The sequence below is a fragment of the Homo sapiens genome, chromosome 15, assembly GCF_000001405.40.
Source record: "Homo sapiens chromosome 15, GRCh38.p14 Primary Assembly".
Classification (NCBI taxonomy): domain Eukaryota; kingdom Metazoa; phylum Chordata; class Mammalia; order Primates; family Hominidae; genus Homo; species Homo sapiens.
The window spans coordinates 41,732,181-41,758,950 of record NC_000015.10 but is presented as its reverse complement, the minus strand read 5'-3'; the positions used below and the strand labels follow the sequence as shown (position 1 = coordinate 41,758,950).

The window sequence follows — 26,770 nt, the reverse complement described above, 5'->3', positions numbered from 1 at the left end:
AAAAGCATCAACATTAACTATTATGACATTATAAACACTACTCATACAAAGTGAATAATATTTCCTGTCCTGTGCAGTTTCTTGGTTTTGTGATTTTTCCCTCTGATGTTTCTAATTGTCTCTTTTTCTGACACTGTTTGCTTAATCGTAACTCTGACCGTAACCAAAAACTCTAATGTAAAAGCCACTGCCTTTCTAAAGTTAAACCCATTATGCATTAACATAGAATGGGAGAATAAAACAGCCAAGAAGACAGAAAGAAAAGCAATATAAACATTAAATATAGCAAAGTGCAGCAAGAATTTGCATGTAATTATTTGGGTACAAAACAATGAATTATGTAAATAAGCTATTATGAAAATTCTTGTTATATCTGAAAAATGCTTCAGAATAAATTTTTAAAAGCCAAATATAATGATATATGCAAATAATTACAACCATGCAAATACGCTGTATCATATAAGTCCCAAATCAGATCAAAACCAAACAAACTGCACTATGATTTTTTAAAGGAACCAAATGCCACCCTCTACTTCAACCCAACCCCCATCATTGTCTTTTTTTAATCTTTTAAATTAAGATAGAAAAACAAGTGGAAAACAATTTAAACAAACCAAACTCTCCTCCATGCCTACTGTTGGTTAGGATAAACAAAAAACCCTGCTTAATTATGTTACTATGATATAAACCAAAAAGATTAAGAAAATTAAAGGTTTATTTTTTCATGGATCCCTAACTGCTAGCCATTTTGCAGAGCATAGTTTTTTAAATCACTTAAAATCATGAGCCCAAGCAAGAAAGAATGGCACCTTGTTTTACATCAGACCATTACAAGAACAGTTTTCAAATAACCACATATATTCTCATAAATTTCATATCCATTTTTAACTCCTCTACATTAGTCTATCCTCTGAGGAGAAGAATTAAAAGGGAAAAAAAGGACATTAGCAGTATAATTTGATTAAGGAGAAAAAACTGATTATATTAACTCACTGGCAAAAATAGCCCTGAGAAAAAATCGTGGCTAATATAGCTAATGTTGTTTCAACCCTAAGATAAATGTTAACAATTTTATTCAATGAGTAATTATCACTAAATATATCCTAAATACCTTTCGACTCCTTTCAGCTGCTTTTTCATCTGCAGAGATGTGAGTACAGGACCTGGATAAAGACAGGATTTTTCAGTGTCTTACTGAAATTTAATAATCTAAGACCTATTTCACAGCTACAACCAAACCATTCCAAATTACAACCAGTTTCTTTTTCCCAAGGTGTGATATATGGCCACATTATTTACTTGACATTATATATTTTCTCTAAAAGTGTACAAATAGTCACTAAAACTTCAAATTACTTTGTACAATCATGAAATATTTAATATACAAAACCATATAAACAAATTTAAAGTTGTCCTTCAGTATCCAGGGAAGACTCGTTCCAAAACTTCCAGCAGTATCTTTGAATACTCAAGTCCCTGATATAAAATGGCATAGTATTTGCATATAACATAGGCACCTCCTCCTGTATACTATAAATCATCCCTACATTACTTATAACACCTAGTACAATGTAAAAACTAAGTAAACAGTTGTTATACTGTATTGTTTAGGGAATAATGACATGAAAATAAAGTCTATACATGTTCAATACAGATGCAATTTTTCTTCTTCCAAGTATTTCCAATCCACAGTTGGGTGAATCCACAAATACATGCTTTCTATATTTGTGGATACATGCTTTTCCATTATAAACTTGGTCTTCCCATCCGTGAAGGAGGACCAAGCGTATAATGAACACCCACATATGAACCATCTAGCTTGAGAAATAATACATCTCAAAAATACAGAAGGTTCTATGTGCAGTCTACTCAATCACATTCCCTTCCTTCCTTCTCAAAAGTAACCATTCTAAGACAGAGTTTACCATGCACACTTTTGTAAGTCTTACTAGAAATATATATATATATATCTAAACAAAAAAAGTACCACTTTAAATATTATATACTATACTATATCTTTCTGCAACTCATTTGTTTCATTCAATATTCCACCTGAAGGCCAGGCACAGTAGCTAATGCCTGTAATCCCAGAACTTTAGGAGGCCAAGGCACGAGGACTGGTTGAGGCCAGGAGTTCAAAATTAGCCTGGCCAACATAGCAAGACTCCGTCTCTACAAAAAATATCGAAAATAAAAGTACAAATAAATTACACCTGAGATATGTTGATACGCAGAGTTCCAATTCCAATTGTTTTAATTGTTATATAGTTATATAGTATTCCACAATGTGAATTTCCCCGAATTTTTTTTTCAGAATGTTAGTAGTTATTTAGGTTGTTTCTAAATCTTCATAATAGCAAACAATGCTGCAATGGACAGTCCCATACACGACCCCTTGTGAAAATTTTTCTGGGGCATAGGAGCAGAGGAAAGATATGCACACCTTCAACTTCAGTAACTGTTAAACTGGTAATAACAATGTACACTCCCACTTGCAGTATGCGAGTTCCCATTGCTCCACACCTAGATAACTGTACCACCAGAAATCTCCACTTTTGAAGTCTTATGGGTGTGAATTGGTAAAGTCACTGTGGTTTTATCTGTATTTCCTTAATTACTTGTGAGGCTGAACAAATGTACATGTGTTTGCTGGGCTTTTAGGTTTCTTCTTCTTCTGTCAACTGTCTCTAATATCCATTACTTTTCTACTGGGTCATCTTTTTCTTACTGACTTGTAACAATTTTTTTATACCCTTGACACTAATCCTTTGTTAGTTAATACGTATGGCAAACACTTTCTTCATATCTGAGTTTGGCTTTTCACTGTTTTCACGGTGTTCTGACAGAATTTTTCAATTCTTTTAACTTGTATTTTTAATTAAATTTAAACAATTAATTTAAACAAATCTAATTAAATCTTTAATTTTTTTTTTTGAGATGGAGTCTCACTGTGTCTCAGGCTGGAGTACAGTGGCACAGTCTCAGCTCACTGCAACCTCCACCTCCCAGGTTCAAGCAATCCTCCTGCCTTAGCCTCCCGAGTAGCTGGGACTACAGGCGTGTGCCAACAAGCCCGGCTAATTTGCATATTTTTAGTAGAGACAGGGTTTCGCCATGTTGGCCCGCCTGGTCTTGAACTCCTGAATTCAGGTGATCCACCCACCTCGGCCTCCCAAAGTGCTGGAATTACAGGCGTGAGCCACCACGCCCAGCCTAAATCTTTAATTTTTTATTTTAATCTGTTCCCTTACAGTGTTTGTGCTGTGTGTTGGTTATTCTTGGCCCTTTACTATTGCAATCCATTAACATGTTATCTCTCTCCATTTGTTGAATTCCTCTTCGTCTTTCAATACAATTTTGTAAGAAAAGTCTTACACAGCTTGTCAGAGAATGTTCTCACACGGCATTTTTCCTGTTACTATTGCAAATATTTTTTAGAGTTTTTGTTTGTTGCCATTGTTTACAAACTCAGTTTTAGTATACAGAACTCATTATCCCAGACTAAACTCATTAAGTCTAATTAAGTTTTTAAGGGATTTAAATTCTTTCAAGTTTAGCCAGTAGGTAACTGAAGTAGCCTGCAAACAGCTCCGGACTGAAGAAAACTATTAGTCCTACTTTCTACTCCTTCAACTTTCTCAGCATCAGTAGGAACGAAGAATTATTCTTTCTCAACTCATAGCTACTTTCATATCATCGTAGTTAATGAGATGACAGGAAAAGTACAATGTCTGGCACAAAATATCTTCCTTCTCTACTCTTTCTCACAGCCCAATCCATAATCAATATAAGGCTTACTAAAACAGAAAATGAAATAAATTTTCCTGAGCAAGTCATCATTCCTTTCATATTTTCATCTCACCAGTGAAACAGGAAGAAAAATTTTCCTACCTGTATCTCACCTGTTCAACTAGTAAAGTAACCAAATTTAGAATGTAATGCCTATTCTTAAATGATAAAAGAAACTAACCTTTGTTGAGTAGTCCACTTATATCAGTTATTATGCTAGTTGCACATACTACCTCATTTAACACTTCAAATGGGGGCATTTTCCTCATTTCATAGGTAAAGAATCTGAGGTTCAGAGAGATTAAAGATTTGCCCAAGGTTAAATACCTACAAACTAGCAAAACTAATATTTTATAATACCAGTCTATCGGGCTCCAAAAGCATGTTATTCACATTTACACACTGCCTCCTACCAACGACCAAAGAAAATTAATTACCCAAATTCTAGTTCCTCTCCTCATCTATACTAATCAGAAAAAAAGCTAGAGGAAGAAGGAACCAGATGAGTTACCCAGAGCTCCTGAACAGAACATCTCATTTTGTTTCTGGTTACAAAACTACAAAAACAACAATCCAAAGAGAAATAAGACTTACGGCTGTTTGAATGACTGTGTGTGGGCCGCTGTGGTCTTCAGGTGAGCAACATTAATTTCCTCTGAGAGCTCTTCTACAGTCTCAATGTCCACGTGCTCCTCATCATCCTCAATGTATTCTACACAGTTATTCTGAAATACATCATTATAAAAGTAAATAATGTATTGAGTGGCAAGCACACCTAAACTTTTCAAATGTTTGTTCCCCTTATAAAACCAACTAATGCCAGACATTCATGTTATATCATGAGTACTGATAATCCTAAGATTGTTAGTCATAATAAGGAATTAAGACAGAAAGATAACATATCATTAGAATTAACAATCAAGAACTATAAGTCATATATATATGTGAGCCGTGGTGGCTCACACCTATAATCCAGCACTTTGGGAGGCCCAGGCAGGTGGATCGTTTTGAGCTCAGGAGTGCAAAACCAGCCTGGGCAACATGGCAAAACCCTGTCTCTACAAAAAATACAAAAATTAGCCAGACATGGTGGTGCTCGCCTATAATTACAGCTACTCGGAAACCTGAGGTGGGAGGATTGCTTGAGGCCAGGAGTTCGAGGCTGCAGTGACCCAAGACTGCACCACTGCACACCAGCCTGGGAGACAAGAGTAAGACTGTCTCAAAACAAATTAAATAAAAAATAAATAAACAGACATAATTAAACTTAACAGCATCCTCAAAGGACTGCACTGATGCTTCAGTGTTATTTCTAGTGGACAAAATTCAGGCACAGATATATTAAGGTTTCATAAATCTTAAGATTAAATAACAGTAAAATAAAATTTGGTGAAAGAAATATAGAAAGGAGAAAAATTCAAGTGCCACTTTAAGGGGGCTTCATGACCAACATCCTATCAGATGCCCACAAATCAACACACATTAGCATACACAGGCAGGTATAGAAATAGGATACAGCCTAGTCCTGCAACTCTCTCAAAACCACAAAATGAGAGCTTGTAAGGAATTTCAGGTTTCAAAAAAGCCCACGATTGCTGTATTTCCTTATTATACCAAAAAAGGAGTCAAAGTGTTTACTGAGCACCTGTCACAGAAACTTGCTAAATATTTTATGTAACACTAGAGTTATGTGGATATATAGGATAAGCAGATCTTTTTAAGTCCACCTTTACAAATAGTATTTGCTTGCAACATTTCTGTGCCCCCTCAAAAAAAAAAAAAAAGTGTTTACTATGCCAGAAACATAGTAAATGAGCCCACCTCCCGGGATTCAAACGATTCTCCTGCTTCAGCCTCCCGAGTAGTTGGGACTCTAGGACTGTGCCACCACACCTGGCTAATTTGTGTATTGTTAGTAGAGATGGGGTTTCACCATGTTGGCCAGGCTGGTCTCAAACTCCTGACCTCAGGTGATCCGCCTGCCTCAGCCTCCCAAAGTGTTGGAATTACAGGCGAGAGCTACAGCGCCTGGCATAACTGCAGTATTTCTAAATAATATTCCAATAACTTCCACAAGGAAGATTTAAATTAAAGAAGCTATTTACAACTTCCCTCACAGTATTCCAATGCTAATCATAAAGGTAACGTAGGTGTGAGATGTGCAAATAAAAACAGTGTAGACTTTAGATTTTAGAGATCACTTAATATGACCTTTAAAAAAAAAGTCAGTATAACTTGTTTGCTTGTCAAATTCCCTATTAGTACATTCAAGCAATGCCTCCTTGTATGATTAAGATACTTCAGGCCGGAGGCAGTTGCTCATGCCTGTAATCCCAGCACTTTTGGGAGGCCAACGTGGGTGGATCACCTGAGGTCAGGAGTTCAAGACCAGCCTGGCCAATATGGTGAAACCCTGTCTTTACTAAAAAAATACAAAAATTAGCTGGGCATGGTGGTGCCCACCTGTAATCCCAAGCTACTCGGGAGGCTGAGGCAGAAGAATCGCTTGAACCGAGAAGGCAGAGGATGCAGTGAGCCGAGATGGCACCACTGCACTCCAGCCTGGGCGACAAAGCGAGACTCTGTTAAAAAAAAAAAAAAAAAAAAAAAAACTTTAAAGGTTCTATTATGTAAGTTCCACTAATAGTAATAGTTTTCACTGGTTTTAAAGTTGAACTGTTTTTTGGTCTCATGTTAACTTGGGCTGACTTACAGTGTGAGACTGCAAAAAACACAAAAAAATCAGCAATATAACTCCTAAAGTCAATGAATTTACATCCATTCTTGAAAAAGATTAGGCTATGGAGAGAAGGTATAAGTCAAATGAATACAGAATCATCCAATTTTAGAGCAAGATCCTCCTTTATAAATGAGACAATGGAGGTACTCAAATAACCAATATAAGAACATTAAGACCAGCCTGGCCAAGATGGTGAAACCCCATCTCTACGTAAATACAAAAATTAGCTGGGGCGGTGGCAGGCTCCTGTAATCTCAGCTACTCAGGAGGCTGAAGCAGGAGAATTGCTTGAGCCCCAGAGGTGGAGGTTGCAGTGAGCTGAGTTCGCACCACTGCACTCCAGCCTGGGCGACAGAGTAAGACTCCATCGCTAAAATAAAATATTTCAACATTTTAGATTTTTAAAACAGTAATCTTTTTGTCTTATTTTATGTGCATAAAGCAGTTAAGCAATAACAGAAAAGGACCAGATAACACAGAGGCAGAATGAATCTCAAGGAAGTGAGATTGTAAAACAAGCAGTTGTATGACAATCAGTGCAGACGGCTGTCATCTGCTCCTGAAAAGAAGGACACAGTTTAGATTTTAGGGCACTCCACAGGCAGCTGGTTATGATCTCCCCATGTTTTACATCAGACCTTATGTCAGGGGTCAGCAAACCACAGCCCACTAACAACTTCTTTTTTTTTTTTAACCCGAGACAGAGTTTTGTTCTTGTCGCCCAGGCTGGAGTGCAATGGCGCGATCTGGGCTCACTGCAACCTCAGCCTCCCGGGTTCAAGCGATTCTCCTGCCTCAGCGTTCTGAGTACTGGGATTACAGGCACCCATCACCACACCTGGCTAATTTTTTGTATTTTTAGTAGACACGGGGTTTTGTCATGTTGGCCAGACTAGTCTCAAACTCCTGACGTCAGGTGATCCACCCACCTCGGCCTCCCAAAGTGCTGGGATTATGGGTGTGAGCCACCGCACCTGGACTTTTTTACTAAAGTTTTAATGGAATACAGCTGCTTTTATACTACAACAGCAGTCAATTAGTCGCAACAGAGAGCCATCTAGCTCTCTGCAAAGTCTAAAACTATTTACTATCTGGCCTTTTACAGAAAACGTTTGTACAACTCCTGCACTGTATCAATACCTGACAGTTACTTATTTAAGTAAATACAACAACCCTAAATAGGAATCCTATAAAAAAAACTTCAGGAAAATAATAAAAATAGGCCATAAAGGTCATATTACAAAGGACGAAGACCAAAGTCTAGAATATAAATTCCAGAGACTAAATATTTAATTTTTGGATATAAAAGCAACTCAAGGCAAAATGGTACTAGAATATGATGGTATTTTCCAGTTTTTCTCCAAAAACAAAAACATCTCTCTATATGCAAGTGAATAAGTTCTCCTCTAGTTCTAAGGTCACCCATTCCCAGTTTCTGATTAACATCTACCAGAGAAGCTACAACCACCTCACATAGAAAACGTCATAGAAATTGACTGAGGTCAAATGGGAGTAGTGGTTTCGGGATTTTAAAAATCTAACTCGGTAGGGACTCTCAAGCACCTATCCCCCAAATATTTAAGCCAGCCTTCCCATAAAACCAGACAAGTCTCAAAGAATAAAAGCTCAATAAATGATGCTTGATTGACACAGCCTAAAGAACTACTAAGCCATTTAAGTCATAATCTTAAACCTAGGCATCCAATTAAATGTATTATGCCTTAGTGCTCTTCTGAAAAAGCTTCTGTCTTTAATAAATCATTTAAATCCTTTAGGTTTCAGTCACAACAAAAATGGGCTCACCACCTTTTCTACATCATCAACCTCCTCACTCTGGTAGTCAGAAACAACATCCACAATTTCATCAATAGAATCATCAGTTTTCTCATTATCATCTTCATCATCTTCTTCCAAATCCAAAACAGTGAAGTCAGCACTGCTTCTCCCACCCTTCTTCTCTTGCTTTGGTTGTATCTGTTCTCCAGGTAGCAGTAAGTGACCCTGAAAATGTCCATTCCCTCTGCTGCTTTTTGCAGCTCTCCTAGGAACAATGGAGAAGGCTGAAGGATTAGAAATCCTACTCCAAGAATCACATTCAGTTTTCAAAACTCTGGCATCTTCAGTAATTCCACTTTTTCCAAGTAAGTCAGAGATGCCTTGTTCTTGCTGAAACACATCTGAATTTTCCTGACATGTCTTTGTTTCTTTAATTAACTGCTCGTCTGCCTCTTTCTTACATTCCTGTGAAGCTCCAACACATTTCCTGGTTAAGGGGCCCTTCAGATGTTTTCTCCATCTTTCCCTGTCTTTCTCCAGAGAGTCTCCACATTCCTTCTCTTTGGCCTCTGGCTGTAGATTAGATTGCTGCTCCATAACTTTGCTTCCTGACAATTCAAATTTACTTTCTTCCTTAAAGGTGACTGGAAATTCACTTGAGTTTTCTTCTGGATTGTCAAATCCTTTCTGCTGTTCCACCTTCACATCACCAAGTTTTTGATGCTGTACTTTACTTAAATTTTGGACTGTCTTATTACTGGCTTTTTCAGAAATGGTCCTAACTTCCAGAACAGCCACTTTTTCTTTGGAACTCTTACGATTCCTAGCCCCATATTCTTCATTAACATCTTTATAATCTTGATCTGTATGTGACCCAGTGATACAGGAATGCTCAGATGGTTTGACAGTTGCACAACCTTCTTCTGGAAGGCATTCTTCATCCAAATGATCACCCCTATCTTCCAAGGAATCATTCAGAGTTTCTTCTGAGGTAGCAGCTCCTGAGTTTTGTTTTATTACATTAGCCTCAGGGTCTACAGCCTCTCCTTCTGACTGTAGAACCTTCTTCGTTTCTTGCTCTCTTTTTATTGAGTTTGTTTCATCTTTCTGGTCTGGATTCTGAGATTCTCTCTTCATCTGAAGGGAAGCAACATGCTGAAGAATGGAGCTAGGAACAGGCTTTTGTCCTGGGAGCTGTAACAAGGCAAAACTACCAGACTGGAGAGGAATAAGACTGGCTGTACCAACAGGCTGTCCTCCTGAGCTATAAGTTATTTTGGTTTCAGAGCCTGTTTTACTTGCAAAGCTTTGTGGTTCAGGAGGAGAAATCCTCAGGGTCAATGTACCAGCCTGAGACACAAAACTAGCTCCAGAGGAAAGCAATGATGGTGCCTGAGTGATAACATTCACTGCTGAAGAAGACCCAACAGCTTGAATTACAGGATTCATGACAGAGAAAGCAGAGGACGAAGTGGAAGATGGCGGAGTCTCAGAGGGTTTGGAAGGAGCAGGTAACCGGATTCCCATCACAGACCCTGGTTTAAAAAATAAGAGAGAAATTTTTAAATCATGACTGCCCATATCAAGACTTCCAATGTTTGCTTTTCTTTTTGGAAAAGTAACTCTTAAGAGATGAAGAAAAACAATCTTGGTGTATTAACATACCATATGGCCAAGTGATTCAACAAAAGAAAAGTTCATAAAAAAGAACTTTATACCTGGGTTCCGAAACATGACAGGCTGTAAGTTGGGCTGGGTATTAGAGCCTCGAAGCTGATGCAAAGGTAGAAGCTGGACAATCTGCCCATTAGGGTGCCTGAATAAGTTCATTCCACTTGGACTCCTAACAGGCTGCAAGACCATCCGATGTCCCTGAAGTTGTGTGTTTGAGACAGGTCTAAGAGTAGGAGAACCCTGCTGCACTGGAATCAACAACAATCGAGGTCCAGCACGTTTCACTGTGTTAGGAGAGACCTGTGGAGTAGCCACTGGAATTTGAGCAGCATTTTCTGAAAAACAGGAAATGGAAACATGGTACCCAAATTCCCCTTTAACACACGTAGGAAAAAAAAGTATTCATAATATTTTTTAAGACACAGTCTTGCTTTGTTGCTCAGGCTGGAGTGCAATGACACAACCTCGACTGACTACAACCTCCGCACCTCCCTAGTTCAAGTGATTCTTCCACTTCAGCATACCGAGTAGCTGCGACTACAGGTGTGCACCAGCACACCTGGCTTATTTCTGTATTTTTGGGTAGAGACAGGGTTTCACCATGTTGGTGAGGCTGGTCTCAAACCCCTGACCTCAAGTGATCTGCCGTTCTCGGCCTCCCAAAGTGCTGAGATTACAGGCGTGAGCCACCGCGCCCAGTCTATATTTTTTTTTTTTTAAAGAGGCAGGGTTGCACTTGTCACCTTCAGTGCAGTAGCTCAATCATAGCTCACTGCAGTCTCAAACTCCTTGGTTCAAGAGATCCTCCTGCCTCAGCCTTCCAAGTAACTGGGACTACAGGGATGTGTCACTACACCTGGCTAATTATGTTATTCTTTGCAGAGACAGGGTCTTGCTTTGTTGCTCAAGCTAGTCTCAAACTCCTGGCCTCAAGTGATCCTGCCATCTCGGCCTTCCAAAGTGCTGGGACTGCAGCCATGAGCCACCATGCCCAGTCATTAAGGCACAGAATCTGACCTTGCTTCAAATAACGTCTAATTTGGATTATAAAGTTGCTGAAATTCTGTAGTTTCATAATACACTATTTATGGCTGAGAACAGCCAGACATTATGGAGCTTTACATTTAGAATGGTAAAAAATAGAGTATCAACTGTCAAGAGGCACATTTAAAGAGATAATACTTTTGCCTAAAGAAAAACATGGTTATCTCTCTAAATCTGGATTCCTGTTAAAGGGATCATTCATGATAAAATTATGCTTCAACTTCATTCTTTTGAGACAGCATCGCACTCTGTCACCCAGGCTAGAGTGCAGTGGTGGGATCACAGCTCACTGCCACCTCGAACTCCCAGGCTCAGCCTCCCAAGTAGCTGGGACCACAGGTGCACGCTTTTTTTTTTTTTTGTGGAGATGGAGTTTGCTATGTTGCCCAGGCTGGTCTGGAACCCCTGGGGCTCAAGCAATCCTCCTGCCTTGGCCTCCTAAAATGTTGGGATTATAGGTATGAGCCAATGTGCCTGGCCTCTTATGTTTTTAAATAAAATCCAGATTCTGCACAATTTAACTTTAAAATTAAAGCTCATAACACTTACTAGAGTTATGGGTCAATTTCTAAGCTTATACCACCTGAGGAAGATAAAGAACTAAAAATCCTTGGTTTATAAAGGGCTTTTGGTTTTTAAAATTCACTAACAAATATGCAAAGCTTAAAGGTTTGTGGGAATTATTTTTCAGAAGGAAAAAATTACTTAAGCCCCCCAAAATGGAATGAAATTAAGAGACATCAAAGAAGCAGGGAAATAAACCTGGCTTAGAAGAGGCAAAAGATGTTTTTAAAACAAAAAGAAAAAGCAGAAATTTAATGCAGAAGATGTGAATTAATAGAGATTTCAAACCATTAATAGTACTTTAAAGATGCCCTTTCCTGATTGGAAGACATATTTCGAAATACTAAAGACATAGGAAAAAACAGTATGAGTAATCTAGATTTTTTTTTTTAGATCAAAGAGATAAAGAGGTAGGAATCATGGTAATAGTAAGCATAAATGAAACTGGTCTAACATTACTATTCAAATTGGTGAGCTTATTTAACATTAATAAATAAAAATTGGTAGGCTTATTTAACATTAATAAATAAAACTTAAAAAGTCTGCTACTGAAGAGAAAAAAAAATCAAACAAATGAAACAAAACAAAGACTTTAGCTTAACGTGATTCTCTATCAAACAGGCACTCTGCCCACACAAAAAAATATCAAATTTCAAAAAGAAAGTCATGGTCATAACATTTAGATGAAAAATTATATAGAAAATCCAAGACTACTCTTAAAAATTAAATAAAACACAAAACCAAACTGTTCATGAAAATAATCATGTGCAATTTAAACAAAAAATATTCATCTACCTTTTTTTTTTTTTTTTTTTTTTTGAGACGAAGTCTCGCTCTGTTGCCCAGGCTGGAGTGCAATGGCAAGATCTCGGCTCACTGAAACCTCCGCCTCCCGGGTTCAAGCGATTCTCCTGCCTCAGCCTCCAGAGTACCTAGGATTACAGGCATGCAACCACCACATCCGGCTAATTTTTTTTGTATTTTTAGTAGAGACAGGGTTTCACCATGTTGGCCAGGCTGGTCTTAAACTCCTGACCTCAGGTGATCCATCCTCCTCAGCCTCCCAAAGTGCTGGGATTACAGGCGTCAGCCACTGTGCCCAGCCATATTAATCTTACGTGAATTAAGAAACAAATATGTTAATGCATTCTTAATTTTTCAACTTTTTTCTTCAAATTAACTTTTAGAGAGTGATTCAAAAACATTCAGAGAATGAAAGCAATCTTTAATATACACATTAAATATGTGATGGTTTACTTAACTGTGTGCAAGGAAAAGGAAGGTAAAGAGGAAAAGGAGAAAAATCAAATTTTAAAAGCACAGATATCAAAGTGCCAACAGGGGATCCTCTTTATAAATAGAGAAAAAAATTACACACACTTCCTTAAGTAGCAGTTACCTGAGTCAGGTCTATTTATTTTAAAAGATTAGAAAACTTGTTAAATGTTAGTGTTTCCTGGCAGGATGCAGTGGCTCATGCCTGTAATCCCAGCACTTTGTGGGGCCAAGATGCAAGGACTGCTTGAGCCCAGGAGTTCAAGACCAGCCTGGACAACACAGCGAGACCTCGCCTCTACTGAAAATCAAAAAAATTAACCAGGTGTGGTGGCACAAGCCTATGATCCCAGCTACTCGGGAGACTGAAATGGGAGGATCACTTGAGCCTGAGATGTAGAGGCTGCAGGGAGCCATGATCATGCCACTACACTCCAACCAGGATGACAGGGCAAGACCCTGTCTGTCTCTCTCTATATATAGATATATATTTTTTTTAAATAAAAATACATTTTTATTAAAAATATATCTACATGTTTTTCCTCAAATGGTACTATAGAAGATATTTTATGTACAGTCTTTGATGATATATCTTTAATGTTACTCTAGTATTTTCTAGCTTTCTTCTTTAAAAAAAAAGACAGCAAAGCCATGTGCTCAGAATATATAGTAGCTAACAGGAATTTAATGATTTTTTAATTATTATAGTTTCCAGTGTATTTCTTTATAGGGTTAACCTCTATTATGCCGAGTAATGCTGGTTTCCAATTAATGCTGTCTCTTTTTTTTTTTTTTTTTTTTTTTTTTATTGATCATTCTTGGGTGTTTCTCGCATAGGGGGATTTGGCAGGGTCATAGGACAATAGTGGAGGGAAGGTCAATGCTGTCTCTTTTAAAAACACATTTACAGCCAGGCGCTGTGGCTCACGCCTGTAATAATCCTAAGCACTTTGGGAGGCCAAGGCAGGCCGATCATGAGGTCAAGAGTTTAACACAAGCCTGGTCAACATGATGAAACCCCGTCTCTACTAAAAATATAATATACACCACTGCGTGGTGGCGGGCACCTGCAATCCCAGCTACTCGGGAGGCTGAGGCAGGAGAACCACTTGAACCTGGGAGGCGGAGGTTGCAGTGAGCTGAGATGGTGCCACTGCACTCCAGCCTGGGCAACAGAGCGAGACTCCGTCTCAATAAATAAATAAATAAACAAACACACACACATTTACATATAAAAAAGCAGTTGATTAAAATAAAAATATTAGGTAGGTGACAGTACAGATGGGACTCAGCAAAATATGTGAATGCATATCCTGAATAACTGAAGTCTGAGAAACAACAGAACTACAGAAGAATAAACTACTATATTGTTTCATGAAAGAATTAAGAGTACAGAAACAGGCTGGAATCCATATGGTTTAGAAGACATGATCTGTTAAAATATAACAGATATGCACCTTGAGATTCAATAGGAAATAAAAGTAGCTTCACTAATGACTTCACTCCCAAAAGTATGTATCAGATTAATCATGATTTATGGGCTTATTTGTGGGAAGAAGCACAAGACAGACACATTTAATATTGTGATTCACAAGCCGGACGTGGTGGCTCACGCCTGTAATCCCAGCACTTTGGGAGGCCAAGGTGGGAAGATCACGGAGACTGAGATCAGCCTGACCAAAATGGAGAAACCTCGTCTCTACTGAAAATACAAAAAATTAGCTGGACGTGGTGGCATAAACCTGTAGTCCCAGCTACTCGGGAGGCTGAGGCAGGAGAATCATGTGAACCCAGGAGGCAGAGGTTGCAGTGAGCTGAGATTCTGCCATTGTACTCCAGCCTGGGCAACAGAGCAAGACTCCATCTCAAAAAAATATATATATATATACACACACACACATATATATATATAGATTCACTTTTCCCTTCAACAGAACTTTAACTTACAAACTAACTCCCAATCTGTTCTTCCATAAAAGACAGAGAGGAATTTGGACCACATCACTAAATGCAAAAATATTTAAGAGAAAACATCAATAACCAAGACAGAATTGCTATTAGTTAATTATTTCCCCTCAAATCCTGCAAAGTCTCTTGCTCTTTTCCATATTAGTTCCTCTATGAGTAGATTAAAAGAACCACTTACTTTAGCTAGTTGCATCTGGATATAAAAACTACACAAAGTGTAGGATATTCCTATTTCAAATTCACTCAACCTAAGCCAATAAAAGAAATATTTTAACTAAAAAGTTTATAAAAATATTAGAGCCCTAAACAAATATGCCTCCTTGTTTCTATTTCAATCAGTTCATGTCCAGCAATTAAATAGGTGCTGATTCATTAGTGGTTTTTACTACACAAAAGGAGATGAAGTCTGCTCATCTGTCTCTAATTAAAAAGCAGCACCCCCCACACCCCACAAAAGGAACATCTGCATTTGAGGCTCCCTCCTCAAAGATGTGCACCCCTAGCTCTCAGCACACAGGTCATGTTTCCTCCCATGCCCATGTTAGTGGCTCAGAGCTCCAGTCTTACCTGCATTACTTCAGTATCCTTCAGCCACCACTTCCATTGTAATGTTTTTTAGTATTTTGAGTCGCAATCTCCAGCTCCACTAAACTATCAGTCAAGATTGTTCAAGTTATCTCTCAAGGTTATCAGTTATTGTTATTAATGTTCTGCTTATAAAACTGCATATATTTTCAGTGATTTATCGCAATCCCGTATTAACCATGAGCTCTATTAATTTTAGTGTTCAGTTTTGCAGCATGCAGAGGTTTTCAGGAATACATGTATCATGTTACAACAGAAATACCTATACTGTTATCCTGATATATCTATAATCCTAACACAACCACAAAGTTATATAAATAGGTGTACAGTAAAATAAAGCAGCTAGTAACATCTAGGCCTTACCTGGTCTCTGGCTCACTGGTGGACTCCCATTAATTCCTGAGAGTATAATAGGAACAGAGCCCAGAGATGAAGTTGGTGTGGTCACCATGGAGGAAGATGCAGCTGCAGTCACCACGACTAAGGAGGTGGAAGCAGTGGAAGCAACAGGAAGAGTTATGGTTGAAGGAGATGCTACCAAAGACTTAGGAAAAGCAACTGAAGCCACAGGGGTAGTTATCCCAGTGGTTTTGGTAAGGTTCACAGTGGCTGTAGACTGGGTAGATGTTACAGAGGTGCTGGTATTAGTTTCAGAGACCTCAACAACCCCTGTAGTGGTGGCACCAGAAGAATAAGTAGTTTCTTTAGTTTCCACGTCAGAAATAGCAGTCATAGGTGTCACAGCAGTAGTATTTTCTAAAAACACTTGAGGGGTGGTAGTAGTGACAGCAGCAGTCACAGGGCTGCACACCTGAACTGGCTCAGAAGAAACCACAGGTGTGACGACCATTACTGGAGAAGGTCTGATACTGAACTTCTGTGTCCCTGCCAGGGTTTGGGGTGTGCTAACTCCAGGTATCTTCTGCTGCAAGGCTCCAACTTTACTCATCACAAACTGTGTGAACACACCACCAGGAGAGGGTCGAGCCGCTGCAAACAGAAATTTGCAGGTCAAAAATCTTCAGTTCTCATATTTTATCCTCTTAGTGACTGTGCTTACCGACATTTACTGTGCACTACTGGGTCAATTTCTTACAGGTACTACCTACCTGTATTATTTGTGCCAATTTCTTTTTTTTCTTTTTTAAGATGGAGTTTCTTTCTTGTTGCCCAGGCTAGAGTGCAATGGCGCGATCTCGGCTCACTGCAACCTCTGTCTCCCAGGTTCAAGCAATTCTCCTGCCTCAGCCTTCCCGAGTAGCTGGGATTACAGGCACATACCACCAAACCCAGCTAATTTTTGTATTTTTAGTAGAGACAAGGTTTCTCCATGTTGGTCAGGCTGGTCTTGAACTCCCGACATCAGGTGATCTGCCTGCCTCGGGCCTCCCAAAGTGCTAGGATTACAGGTGTGAGCCACCACACCCAGCATCTGAGCTTATTTCTACTCTCAGAAATCAAACGCTTGCCTTGACCAAAAACAAACCTCAGTTCTAACAAGAAAGGGATTAAAATTGAGTGTTCCAGGCCAGACACAGTGACTCACACCTGTAATCCCAGCACTTTGGGAGGCCGAGGTGGGCAGATCACGAGGTCAGGAGTTCAAGACCAGCCTGGCCAACACGGTGAAACCCCGTCTCTACTAAAAATACAAAAATTACCAGGGCATGGTGGCACGTGCCTGTAATCCCAGCTACTCAGGAGGCTGAGGCAGGAGAATGGTTTGAACCCAGGAGGTGGATGCTGCAGTGAAATGAGATAGTGCCACTGCACTCCAGCCTGGGAGACAGAGCAAGACTCTGTCTTGAAAGAAAAATTAAAAAATTAAATAGAGTGTTCCTACTAAAATTCTTTTGACTGTGCAATATATTCAAACTGTCAGGATACTAAAAAGACAATACAGTAGCAAAAACTTCATCACCTAATACAGATAAAAGAAAATGAGAGGGTTTGTTTCCCCCAATTTCTAATGTAAAAACTTGTTTCTACCATTTCCTCCTGTCTGAGCACTCTCACCTCTTTACAGCTGTGCTATTATGAGATGCTTACGTATTACATATTCCTAAAATATATAAAGACATTTCTCCAAACAGATCAGGATAGGATTGCTTTTTTTACTCCCCTTAATCACAACTGAAGCTGCCTTAATAAAAGGTAAAATAGATTCTTTTTTTTTTTTTTTTTTTTTTGGAGATGGAGTCTCACTCTGTCACCAGGCTGGAGTGCAGTGGCACGATTTCGGATTACTGCAACCTCTGCCTCCCGGGTTCAAGTGATTCTCCTGCCTCAGCCTCCCCAGTAGCTGGGACTACAGGCGCATGCCACCACTCCCGGCTAATTTTTGTATTTTTAGTAGAGATGGGGTTTCACCATGTTGGCCAGGATGGTCTCTATCTCTTGACCTCGTGATCCACCCGCCTCGGCCTCCCAAAGTGCTGGAATTACAGGAGTGAGCCACCGCGCCCGGCCAAAATAGGTTTTAAGGCAAACAATAAATATCTTCTATCTTCACACAACTCTAACCATTCAGCCAGAGATTTCAACTGACACTCTTACCTAACATTCCTAACAGATTTGAAACAACAAAAAGAGGAATTCAATAAACCAACTATAGATACTCTCAATGCTAAAACACAAATGTTTCAAGAAGGTAATTTATTACAGACTTCAGCATTTAAATGTTAAGGAAAAGAGAGATTTTCATTCATAGAACAGAGATGAATGGAATAAATCAACACTTTCAAAATTGTATTTATAGGAGCTTTCCACTTTAAGCCTATACTACTTACACCACTAGCTTTTGCTAGCTCCTTGGTTTCATAAGTTTAAGAAGTATCAACAGAAGCATTTACATAGCACCAGCAAGAGTTCAACAAGAGGCCAGAAACACCAGTCCTCACAGGAAAATAGTAAACTATTTTTAATTTAGTAAAATATTTTAGTAAATAATTTAGTATAATAGTAAACTATTTTTAAATGTCTTCCCTTTTTAGAAACAAAATTAAAATCCTTAAGTCTTTTCTACATTAATAACAACCAGTCTGAAAACCTTAAAAATAACTATAAAACTTGCCTTCAAGTCAGTGTTATTAAAAAATAAAAAATATATATAAAACCAAGAAATTAACTATAAAACAACTCAATTCATCTAATATTGCAGGTTATCAGACGTTAACCCCAAACAATCAAAAAAGTCCAGGCAAGACAGACAACAAGAATAAGAATAATGCCAAAGTACATATTTCTCTAATTTTTACAACCTCCATACCTGTACCCACTGTCCCACCACCAAGTCATAGGCCTTTCCAAACCATACATACACCCCAACTTACCAATTGGCCGTTTTGCTGGGACAAACGCCTTCAGATTCTTCCCAGGGCGATTTGTTGCAGTGCCAGAGGAGGATGCCATTTTGGAATTGGATGTTGAAGGCAACAGGGTACGTGGTTTCCTGGATGCAGCCACCTTGGCATTGGATGCTACCTTGGAGATGACAGTACTGAGGGTTGAGAGGTCCAGGACTGAGGGTCGCAACCTGCCTGTGATATAAGCAGCTAGCCTATTGGCTGGATGCAATGCCCCCATCTGTCCCAATAGCAACTTAGCCTGCGGGTAACTCTTACCATTAACCTGAAACAAGTGGCAAAGAGAAATTCTGTAAAGATAAAATTCTCTTGCTAACTCCTCTCCCTTGACAGGGGCTTCATTTTTACAAGTTTTCATAAGTCTATTTTTCAGATTTAAAAGGGAAAAAGAAGTAGACTTTTTCCATTTAGAATAATCTGAGTAATCAGAAGGTAGAAAAATGCTGTCAACTGATATTCTGAACTAATCTCATCTCCTTCATATTGTAGTTTGAAAATAGAGAATCGGAAACTCATCATTTCTGCATCCTAGTTATGTGAAAGTTATCATCAAATCTAAACAACTAGAATTATCCAATTGTTTTCCTTGTAAATAAGGCATTCTGGTTAAGCTATTAACCTCATCAGCAAAAATGAGTGTCCCACAGAATCTCTCTGATAAGACCAGAGAGACATAATGAAGCTCTCACACAAGGGTCCTTTCAAGCATCCTTCATATTTGAAAAATATAAGTGAAATCTACTTTAAGTTATAAGACAATCATTGTTGCAATAACCTAAGCCACAATTACCTCACAGTTTTTCATTTTCAAAAAGCTTAGCTTTGAAAATACTATTTTCATCTCTTGGATAAAACATGGGTTCAAACTGAATGTTGGTACGAACTCATTCTTATTCTAGACATAATTAACTAAATAGTCAGAAGAAAGTGAACCAACAAATGAAGTAAAGATCCCCTCTGCTGCCTGAGTTTATCAGACTGCCCATCATGGGTACCAGCACAGTTGTTTTTTGTGGGGGTTGATTTCTTTTCTTTTTTTTTTAAAGAAAGAAAACAAAAACTTCCCAAGTCTCTACCCATGTTCTCTAGGTCATATTGCCAGGCAACTCTAGAGAAGATAACCTTTTCTATATTTCCTTTTCACCATTTCAAAATCGGGGGTTGGGGGAGATGGAGTGAGGTAGAATCTACTCTCTAACAGGGAACTGGTGAGGAGACCAGCTACAGCAAGCAACTCCATCTTCAGAGACACAAAACAAAATTACTCTTTGCTACTTTGGTTAAATTGTGATTATTCCCACAGAGATCAAGAATATCTCTGCCTTGAGTTTGGTACAAAGAATGTGATCATTCCCCCTGAAAGTAGACTTTACTGTAACTTTTCAGGCTATACAGAAATAGGTCAGATACCCCCTCCCGGATCCCTTGGGACTGCGCTGAAGCCTACTCTGCAGCTTCCCCAAAGTTTACAAAGTTTACAGTTGCCTGACTGCTTATGCAGACACATTCTATGGTGGCTTTGTGAGTCCTGGGCAGAAGACAACAAAAAATTTCCATGCTTGTATTTTAGGGAGTCTAGTCTCACTAGAAATTGTATCAGGCAAACCTCTGTTTTCAAAGTGTCAATCAATATATAAGGTAGAGAAAATACTGTTCTCCTCATCAAGAGTATAAGAAATATCAACAGAAGCATTTACATAGCATGCACAACAGTAAACTGCAATAATAAGTTTTTTAATTAAGTAGATCAATCATATTAATATTATTTTCTCTTTTGAGATGGAGTCTCACTCTGTCGCCCAGGCTGGAATGCAGTGGCGTGATCTCGGCTCACTGCAACCTCTGCCTCCCAGGTTCAGGCGATTCTCCTGCCTCAGCCTCCTAGCTGGGATTACAGGCACACGCCACCATGCCCGGCTAATTTTTGTATTTTTAGTAGAGATGGGGTTTCACCATGTTGGTCAGGCTGGTCTTGAACTCCTGACCTCATGATCTACCCGCCTTCACCTCCCAAAGTGCTGGTATTACAGGTGTGAGCCACCATGCCCAGCCTATATCAATCATATTATTAATGGAGAAGTCCTTAGTGACTTAGAAGCAGCCAATCTAATGAAAGTCAAGCTAACTTTGCAATAATATCAGACACTTCCACACATTTGCTACTCTAATATAAAAGTGCACTTTTTTTTTTTTGAGACAATCTCCCTCTGTTGCCCAAGCTGGAATACAGTGGCACAATCTCAGCTCACTGCAACCTCCACCTCCCAGGTTCAAATGATTCTCCTGCCTCAGCCTCTCAAGAAGCTGGGATTACAGGCGCGCGCCACCACGCCGGGCTAACTTTTTTATTTTTAGTAGAAATGGGGTTTTGCCATGTCGGCCAGGCTAGTCTCAAACTCCTTGCCTTAGGTGATCCACCACCTCGGCCTCCCAAAGTGCTGGGATTACAGGCGTAAGCCACTGCGCTCAGCTAGAAAAACCTTTTCTGACTATGACATTAATTCAGAACGTCTCTTTTCAAATTTTCTATATGCCAGTATAATTTTACTAATACAACCTGCGTGAATTACTAAGTATCAAGGATAAAGGTATTTGTCCTACAACAGTTACACTAACAAAACCCCTACGAATCAAATAAAGAAAAAATATAATTAAGTAAATATGGCTGAATTTTTACTCTTGTATTTAAATAACACCTTACTAAATTAAAATTTTCAGCCATGCATGGTGGCTCACCCCTGTAATCCTAGCACTTTGGGAGGCCAAGGTGGGTGGATCACCTGAGCTCAGAAGTTCGAGACCAGCCTGGACAACATGGCGAAACCCCGTCTCTACTAAAAAAAAAACAAAAACAAAAAAAAACACACACAAACACAAAATTAGCCAGGTGTGGTGTCACATGCCTGTAATCCCAGCTACTTGGGAGGCTGAGGCACAAAGAATTGCTTGAACCCAGGAGGCAGAGGTTGCTGTGAGCCAAGATTGCAATAAATAAATAATAAATAAAAATTTTTAAAATTTTCCCCAAGTTTCTAAACATATATTGCCTATCTTTAAGTCAATTTCATCTTCCCCTTACACCTACCGTTCTAACCATGGTTTTGTTTTGAAACCTATCTGCTAATAATAAATTCCAAGAGCTAGACTGAATCCCTGATTACCCTTGCTTTATTGTCAAAGTATCACTAGAGCCTGCAGGCAATAAAGTTTATGAAGAGCAACTTTCTGGGAAGATTAGAAAGAAAATTAAAACTAATACAAGGCTCTACGTTTCTGTTCATAAATGTGACAAAAATTCACTCTAGGTATGCATCTAAACTAGGCCTATTACAAAAAGAGATAATAATTTTGTCACCCAGTTCCCAGGAAATGTCAAGATAAAGGATATCAGGACCATAAAGGGCTCTGAAAAATCATGATACTACCTAGGTGTATACAAAGGTGCTATACCCAGATTAAAGATAATTCTCACCTGGATAAGCCCAGATGTACTTGAACTGGGTTTACGTTTATAGGCCACAAGCTTCCCTGCAGGAGAAAGCCCTGCATAAAAAGGCAGACCTTTGCCTCCATGTAATCTCTCCCTCACTGAATCCAGGGCATCTGTCTGCACAGGAGAGATATCCTCCATTTTCCCAGGGGACAATGGACCATCAGGAGTCTCTGATCCAGATTTCTCAGCCATATCATCTTGGTCTTGACATGATGGCATAGAGATTTTCACACGAGAAGAATAAACAGGAGGGTTCTTCTCACCCCGGCTCTTTCGCTGAGAAGCCAACTCAATGATGAAGCTGCCCACCTTAAGTGATTGTGGCATGTTGCTATTGATGTGCTGGGATAAGATGCTCAAAATCTTGTTCCGATCTTCCTCCCAGTTGCAGTCTGAGATGATCTCAATCAGTTTGGTGGGACCACCAGGTGACCTCTGATGCATATAAGAAGTAGAAGAGGATTCTCCTTCATTGCAGGAAGACTTCCAGCTCTTTTCTGATGTAAAATAATAATAAAAAAGAAAAAGTTGAAAGATTATTTCTGCATCACAGCATTTTGTATGAAACTCTGAAAAAAAACTGTCACATTCTCACGTTCTTTCACAGTAGTAACTTAAAATGTATCAACTTTCACAATTTGGGAGTTTTCCAGGAAGAAAAAGTTCCAGAGAATAAGACTACAATAGTCCTCATTATCCTGCTGACTGGGCTCTAACAGGTAGTTCCCTTAACACTACTCTAAATGCCACAATTATTACATTAGAGTTAGCTTGCAAACAAACCATGACCTACAACCAAGGTTAAGCTTCACTGGTATAGGTTACTATTTTGCTATACATACAGGCAAAGTGAAACTACTTGCTAGATGCTTTGAAACATGTACAGATTAGAGTCAATCCAAAAGAACAGCAAGAAAAATAGTATTCTGATTTTTTTTTTTTTTTGAGACGGAGTCTAGCTCTGTCGCCAGGCTGGAGTGCAGAGGCGTGATAGCTCACTGCAACCTCTGCCTCCCAGGTTCAAGTGGTTCTCCTGCCTCAGCCTCCCGAGTAGCTGAGATTATGGACGCGTGCCACCACGCCCAGTTAATTTTTGTATTTTTACTAGAGACGGGGTTTCACCATGTTGGCCAGGATGGTCTTGGATCTCTTGACCTCATGATCCACCCGCCTCGGCCTCCCAAAGTGCTGGGATTACAGGCGTGAGCCACTGCGCCCAGCTGTAGTATTCTGATTTTAAGTGCACTCTAACTCTAATTTCTACTGCAAATACCTCTGAATTACTTCTGTGCTTCTAGATATGATTGCTCCATTTCTACACTGTTTGCAGATCACTCAACTACCCAAAGTATTCTTTCCATGGCAACATGTTGACTAGACATGTATTTCACTAGACTCCTGGATTTCTTTAGCACAGCTTCCCAATGAGTGTACTGGTATGTCAAGGGCCCCCATAATCCTCAGGGTGCTCACGCTCTCAGGCAGGTTCCCTCCACCCTAGTAGCCTCCTCCACTTACCGCAATGTGCTATAGAAACATTGTTAATTATTTGTATGTACCATGACGTTTTTTAAGAAGTTAGGAAGCCCTGCTGCTTAAGTGTCAGAAGTCTCGGGAAGCATAACCAAAAACAAATTGGTAACCACCTGACCACTACCTGTCATCAAAGTAATTCTGACAGTAGCCTCTGCCAGCTAAATCACAGTAATATTCCTTCCTTTCTCCTTCTAGATTTCCCCAGAGGTGGCAGTGATGGAGGACCAAAGGCTAATGATGCCAATATTACTGGGGTTTGGAAAGAGGTTAAAAAAAAAAAAACTCACTGACCTCAACCTAAATGTCTCTTGCAACAACATGCTTTATCAACATGAATGAATTTTCTTTTATTTTTGAGAGCAGGAGTGTTAACAGACCAAATAATGGGGAAAAAAAACTTTTACTTATTGTCCCTGTTTTTGGCATAAGTTTGAAACAGGGTAGGCAGACATATTCTGAATTGATGGTTTGGGTTTTCTCCCATTATTACTATAATCTAGACCTAAATAATTTTTATCAAATGTTAAGATCTAGTTTTCATTCTGACCTTGTAATTTATCAGAATCATCCTCCAAGTCACAGGTGAGTTGTTTTAAGGGCTGCTGTTCAGAATCAGGTTCCTGAAGGAGACAGTAACACAGAAATACTTTAACTTAACATATATTCAATACCCACAGAAACTTGGACACAAGCATTAAATCTCTCACAGAAGTTTAAATCATTAGAATGACTGAAATGTCAACAGCTTCAATCCACATGCACATCTACGTTACTATCATATAAAACCCTGGGTAAAAACACATAGTTTTGCTACCTAATGTCCTTGATAGTGACTGAGTCATCAAGAAAAAAATTCACATTGTACTTTAAAGAGGGAAACATATTTACTGTTAAATGAAACAAACTACAGTTATTCAGAAAATTCACCAGTTGAGGCCAGTCTCGGTGGCTCATGCCTGCAATCCCAGCATTCCGAGAGGCCGAGGTGGGAAGATCACTTGAGCCCAGGAGTTCAAACCAGCCTGGCCAACAAGGCAAAACCCCATCTATACCAAAAATACAAAAGCTTAGCCACAAATGGTGGCACACACCTATAGTCCCAGTTGGTTGGGAGGCTGAGACAGAAGGATCGCTTGAGCTGAAGGTTGCAGTGAGCCGAGACCATGCCACTGCACTTCAGCCTGGGTGACAGAGTGAGGCCCTATCTCGAAAAAAAAAAGAAAGAAACAAAATTTGCCAATGTGGAAAGATGCACACCCTAATAATTACAGACAAATTAATAAAACTAGAATTTTTAAAATTACTCCAGGATCAGAAAGAATAATACTTTTTAATTTATCAAATCCTCTATTAACAGGCATTCTGCCTCCAATTTCTCATTAGTAAGGGCAATAGTGCACTGAACAGCTATATATATGCGTATGTTTGAGTAAACATACATACATGCACATATCTTTGTGCCCTCATGCTATGTACACTTACAATTTAGGGTCAAAAAGATATGCACATTTAAATTTTTTTGTTTTTGTCATTAACAAATTGCTGTTTAAAAGAAAACTGCTGATTTATACCTTTAGTGGTTTTCCGGGGAGTCACCACTGATGTTGAGGTGGCAGTACAAGCGAAGGTGGAGCCCCCAGCCATCAGCTGAACCATGGAAAGGGAAGAGGTGTAGCCTAACTACAAGGGTAACTGGAATCAGAACTTATTATTTAAATTATCTGTGAATGTGTGCCTCAGTTTCTCATATAATCCTCCATGGGTTGGACAGACTGCCACCTAGACTCTTTTATCATTCCACTTTCACTAATCAGGAGAGACTGCCCTCTTTCCTTAGTTCCAATTTTTTTTTTAAGTGAAAGCAAGTTAAGAAAGTAGAGGAACAGGCTGGATGTTGTGGCTCACGCCTGTAATCCAGCACTTTGGGAGGCCGAGGTGGGTGGATCACCTGAGGTCAGAAGTTCAAGATCAGCCTGGCCAACATGGTAAAACCCCGTCTCAACTAAAGCATAGAAATTAGCCGGGCATGGTGGCACCCGCCCGTAATGCCAGCTACTCGGGAGACTGAGATGGGAGAATCACTTGAACCCCAGAGACGGTGGTTGCAGTGAACCAAGACAGCGCCACTGCACTCCAGCCTGGGTGGCTGAGCGAGACTCCGTCTTTAAAAAAAGAAAAAAGAAAAGTAGAGGAATAAAAAAATGGCTACTCCATAGACAGAGCAGCCCTTGGTTCCAATTTTTAAAATCCTAGGAAAGGAGTCTGAATGGTTCATCTTGGATCAGACACCAGCCTTTGACCCAGAACACTGTTGCCAAGGAGGCAAGAGCTGTAGGATAATGGCAGTTTCCATTTAATCTACGTAGTTAATGTATTAATAGCAGATTTTGTTCTGAGCAGATAATAATGAAAGCTAGTGTTTACAGGGTACTTATAATGTACCAGGCACATGCTGACCTAAGCATTTTACATATATGTAGAATGTCTCCCTAGACAGGCCACAGAGGATAAACAGCACATTTAAATGGACTAAAATACCTCCCACCTCACAATAAGTAAGTGTTCACTTGGTTATCTAAAAATTTATCAGTTCTTGCATTAGCAGAGGATATAACCATCTAGATAGCATTATAGTGGCTCAAGTAAATGACAGATTGAGTGTTTCAGGTGTCACAAGATATAATAAGGATAACAGGCCGGGCACGGTGGCTCACGTGGGTAATCCCAGCACTTTGGGAGGCTGAGGTGCGCGGATCACGACGTCAGGAGACTGAGACCACCCTGGCTAACATGGTGAAACCCCGTGTCTACTAAAAAATACAAAAAATTAGCCGGGCGTGGTGGCGGGTGCCTGTAGTCCCAGCTACTCGGGAGGCTAAGGCAGGAGAATGGCGTGAACTGGAAAGCGAAGCTTGCAGTGAGCTGAGGTTGCGCCACTGCACTCCAGCCTGGGGGACAGAG

The 26,770-nt window shown here is 39.5% G+C and overlaps 1 protein-coding gene across 51 annotated transcripts in view; it reads right to left on the bottom strand.

The window, feature by feature from the left end:
- The window catches only part of MGA (MAX dimerization protein MGA), a 148,717-nt gene that overhangs the window by 10,990 nt on the left and 110,957 nt on the right, over positions 1-26,770 (bottom strand). For 5 of the 51 annotated variants that reach the window (XM_017022029.3, XM_005254246.4, XM_006720445.5 and 2 more), the window contains 8 exons: positions 24,357-24,429; positions 22,253-22,770; positions 18,748-19,045; positions 15,779-16,405; positions 10,024-10,314; positions 8,333-9,840; positions 4,384-4,514; positions 1,112-1,163 (listed from right to left, as the gene is read on the bottom strand). In XM_017022029.3, coding sequence (XP_016877518.1) covers positions 1,112-1,163; positions 4,384-4,514; positions 8,333-9,840; positions 10,024-10,314; positions 15,779-16,405; positions 18,748-19,045; positions 22,253-22,770; positions 24,357-24,429 — 3,498 coding nt within the window. Of the gene's footprint in view, positions 1-1,111; positions 1,164-4,383; positions 4,515-8,332; positions 9,841-10,023; positions 10,315-15,778; positions 16,406-18,747; positions 19,046-22,252; positions 22,771-24,356; positions 24,430-26,770 lie in introns of those variants that run through there. The other 46 variants (XM_047432302.1, XM_047432280.1, XM_047432301.1 and 43 more) reach the window with 22 other exon arrangements.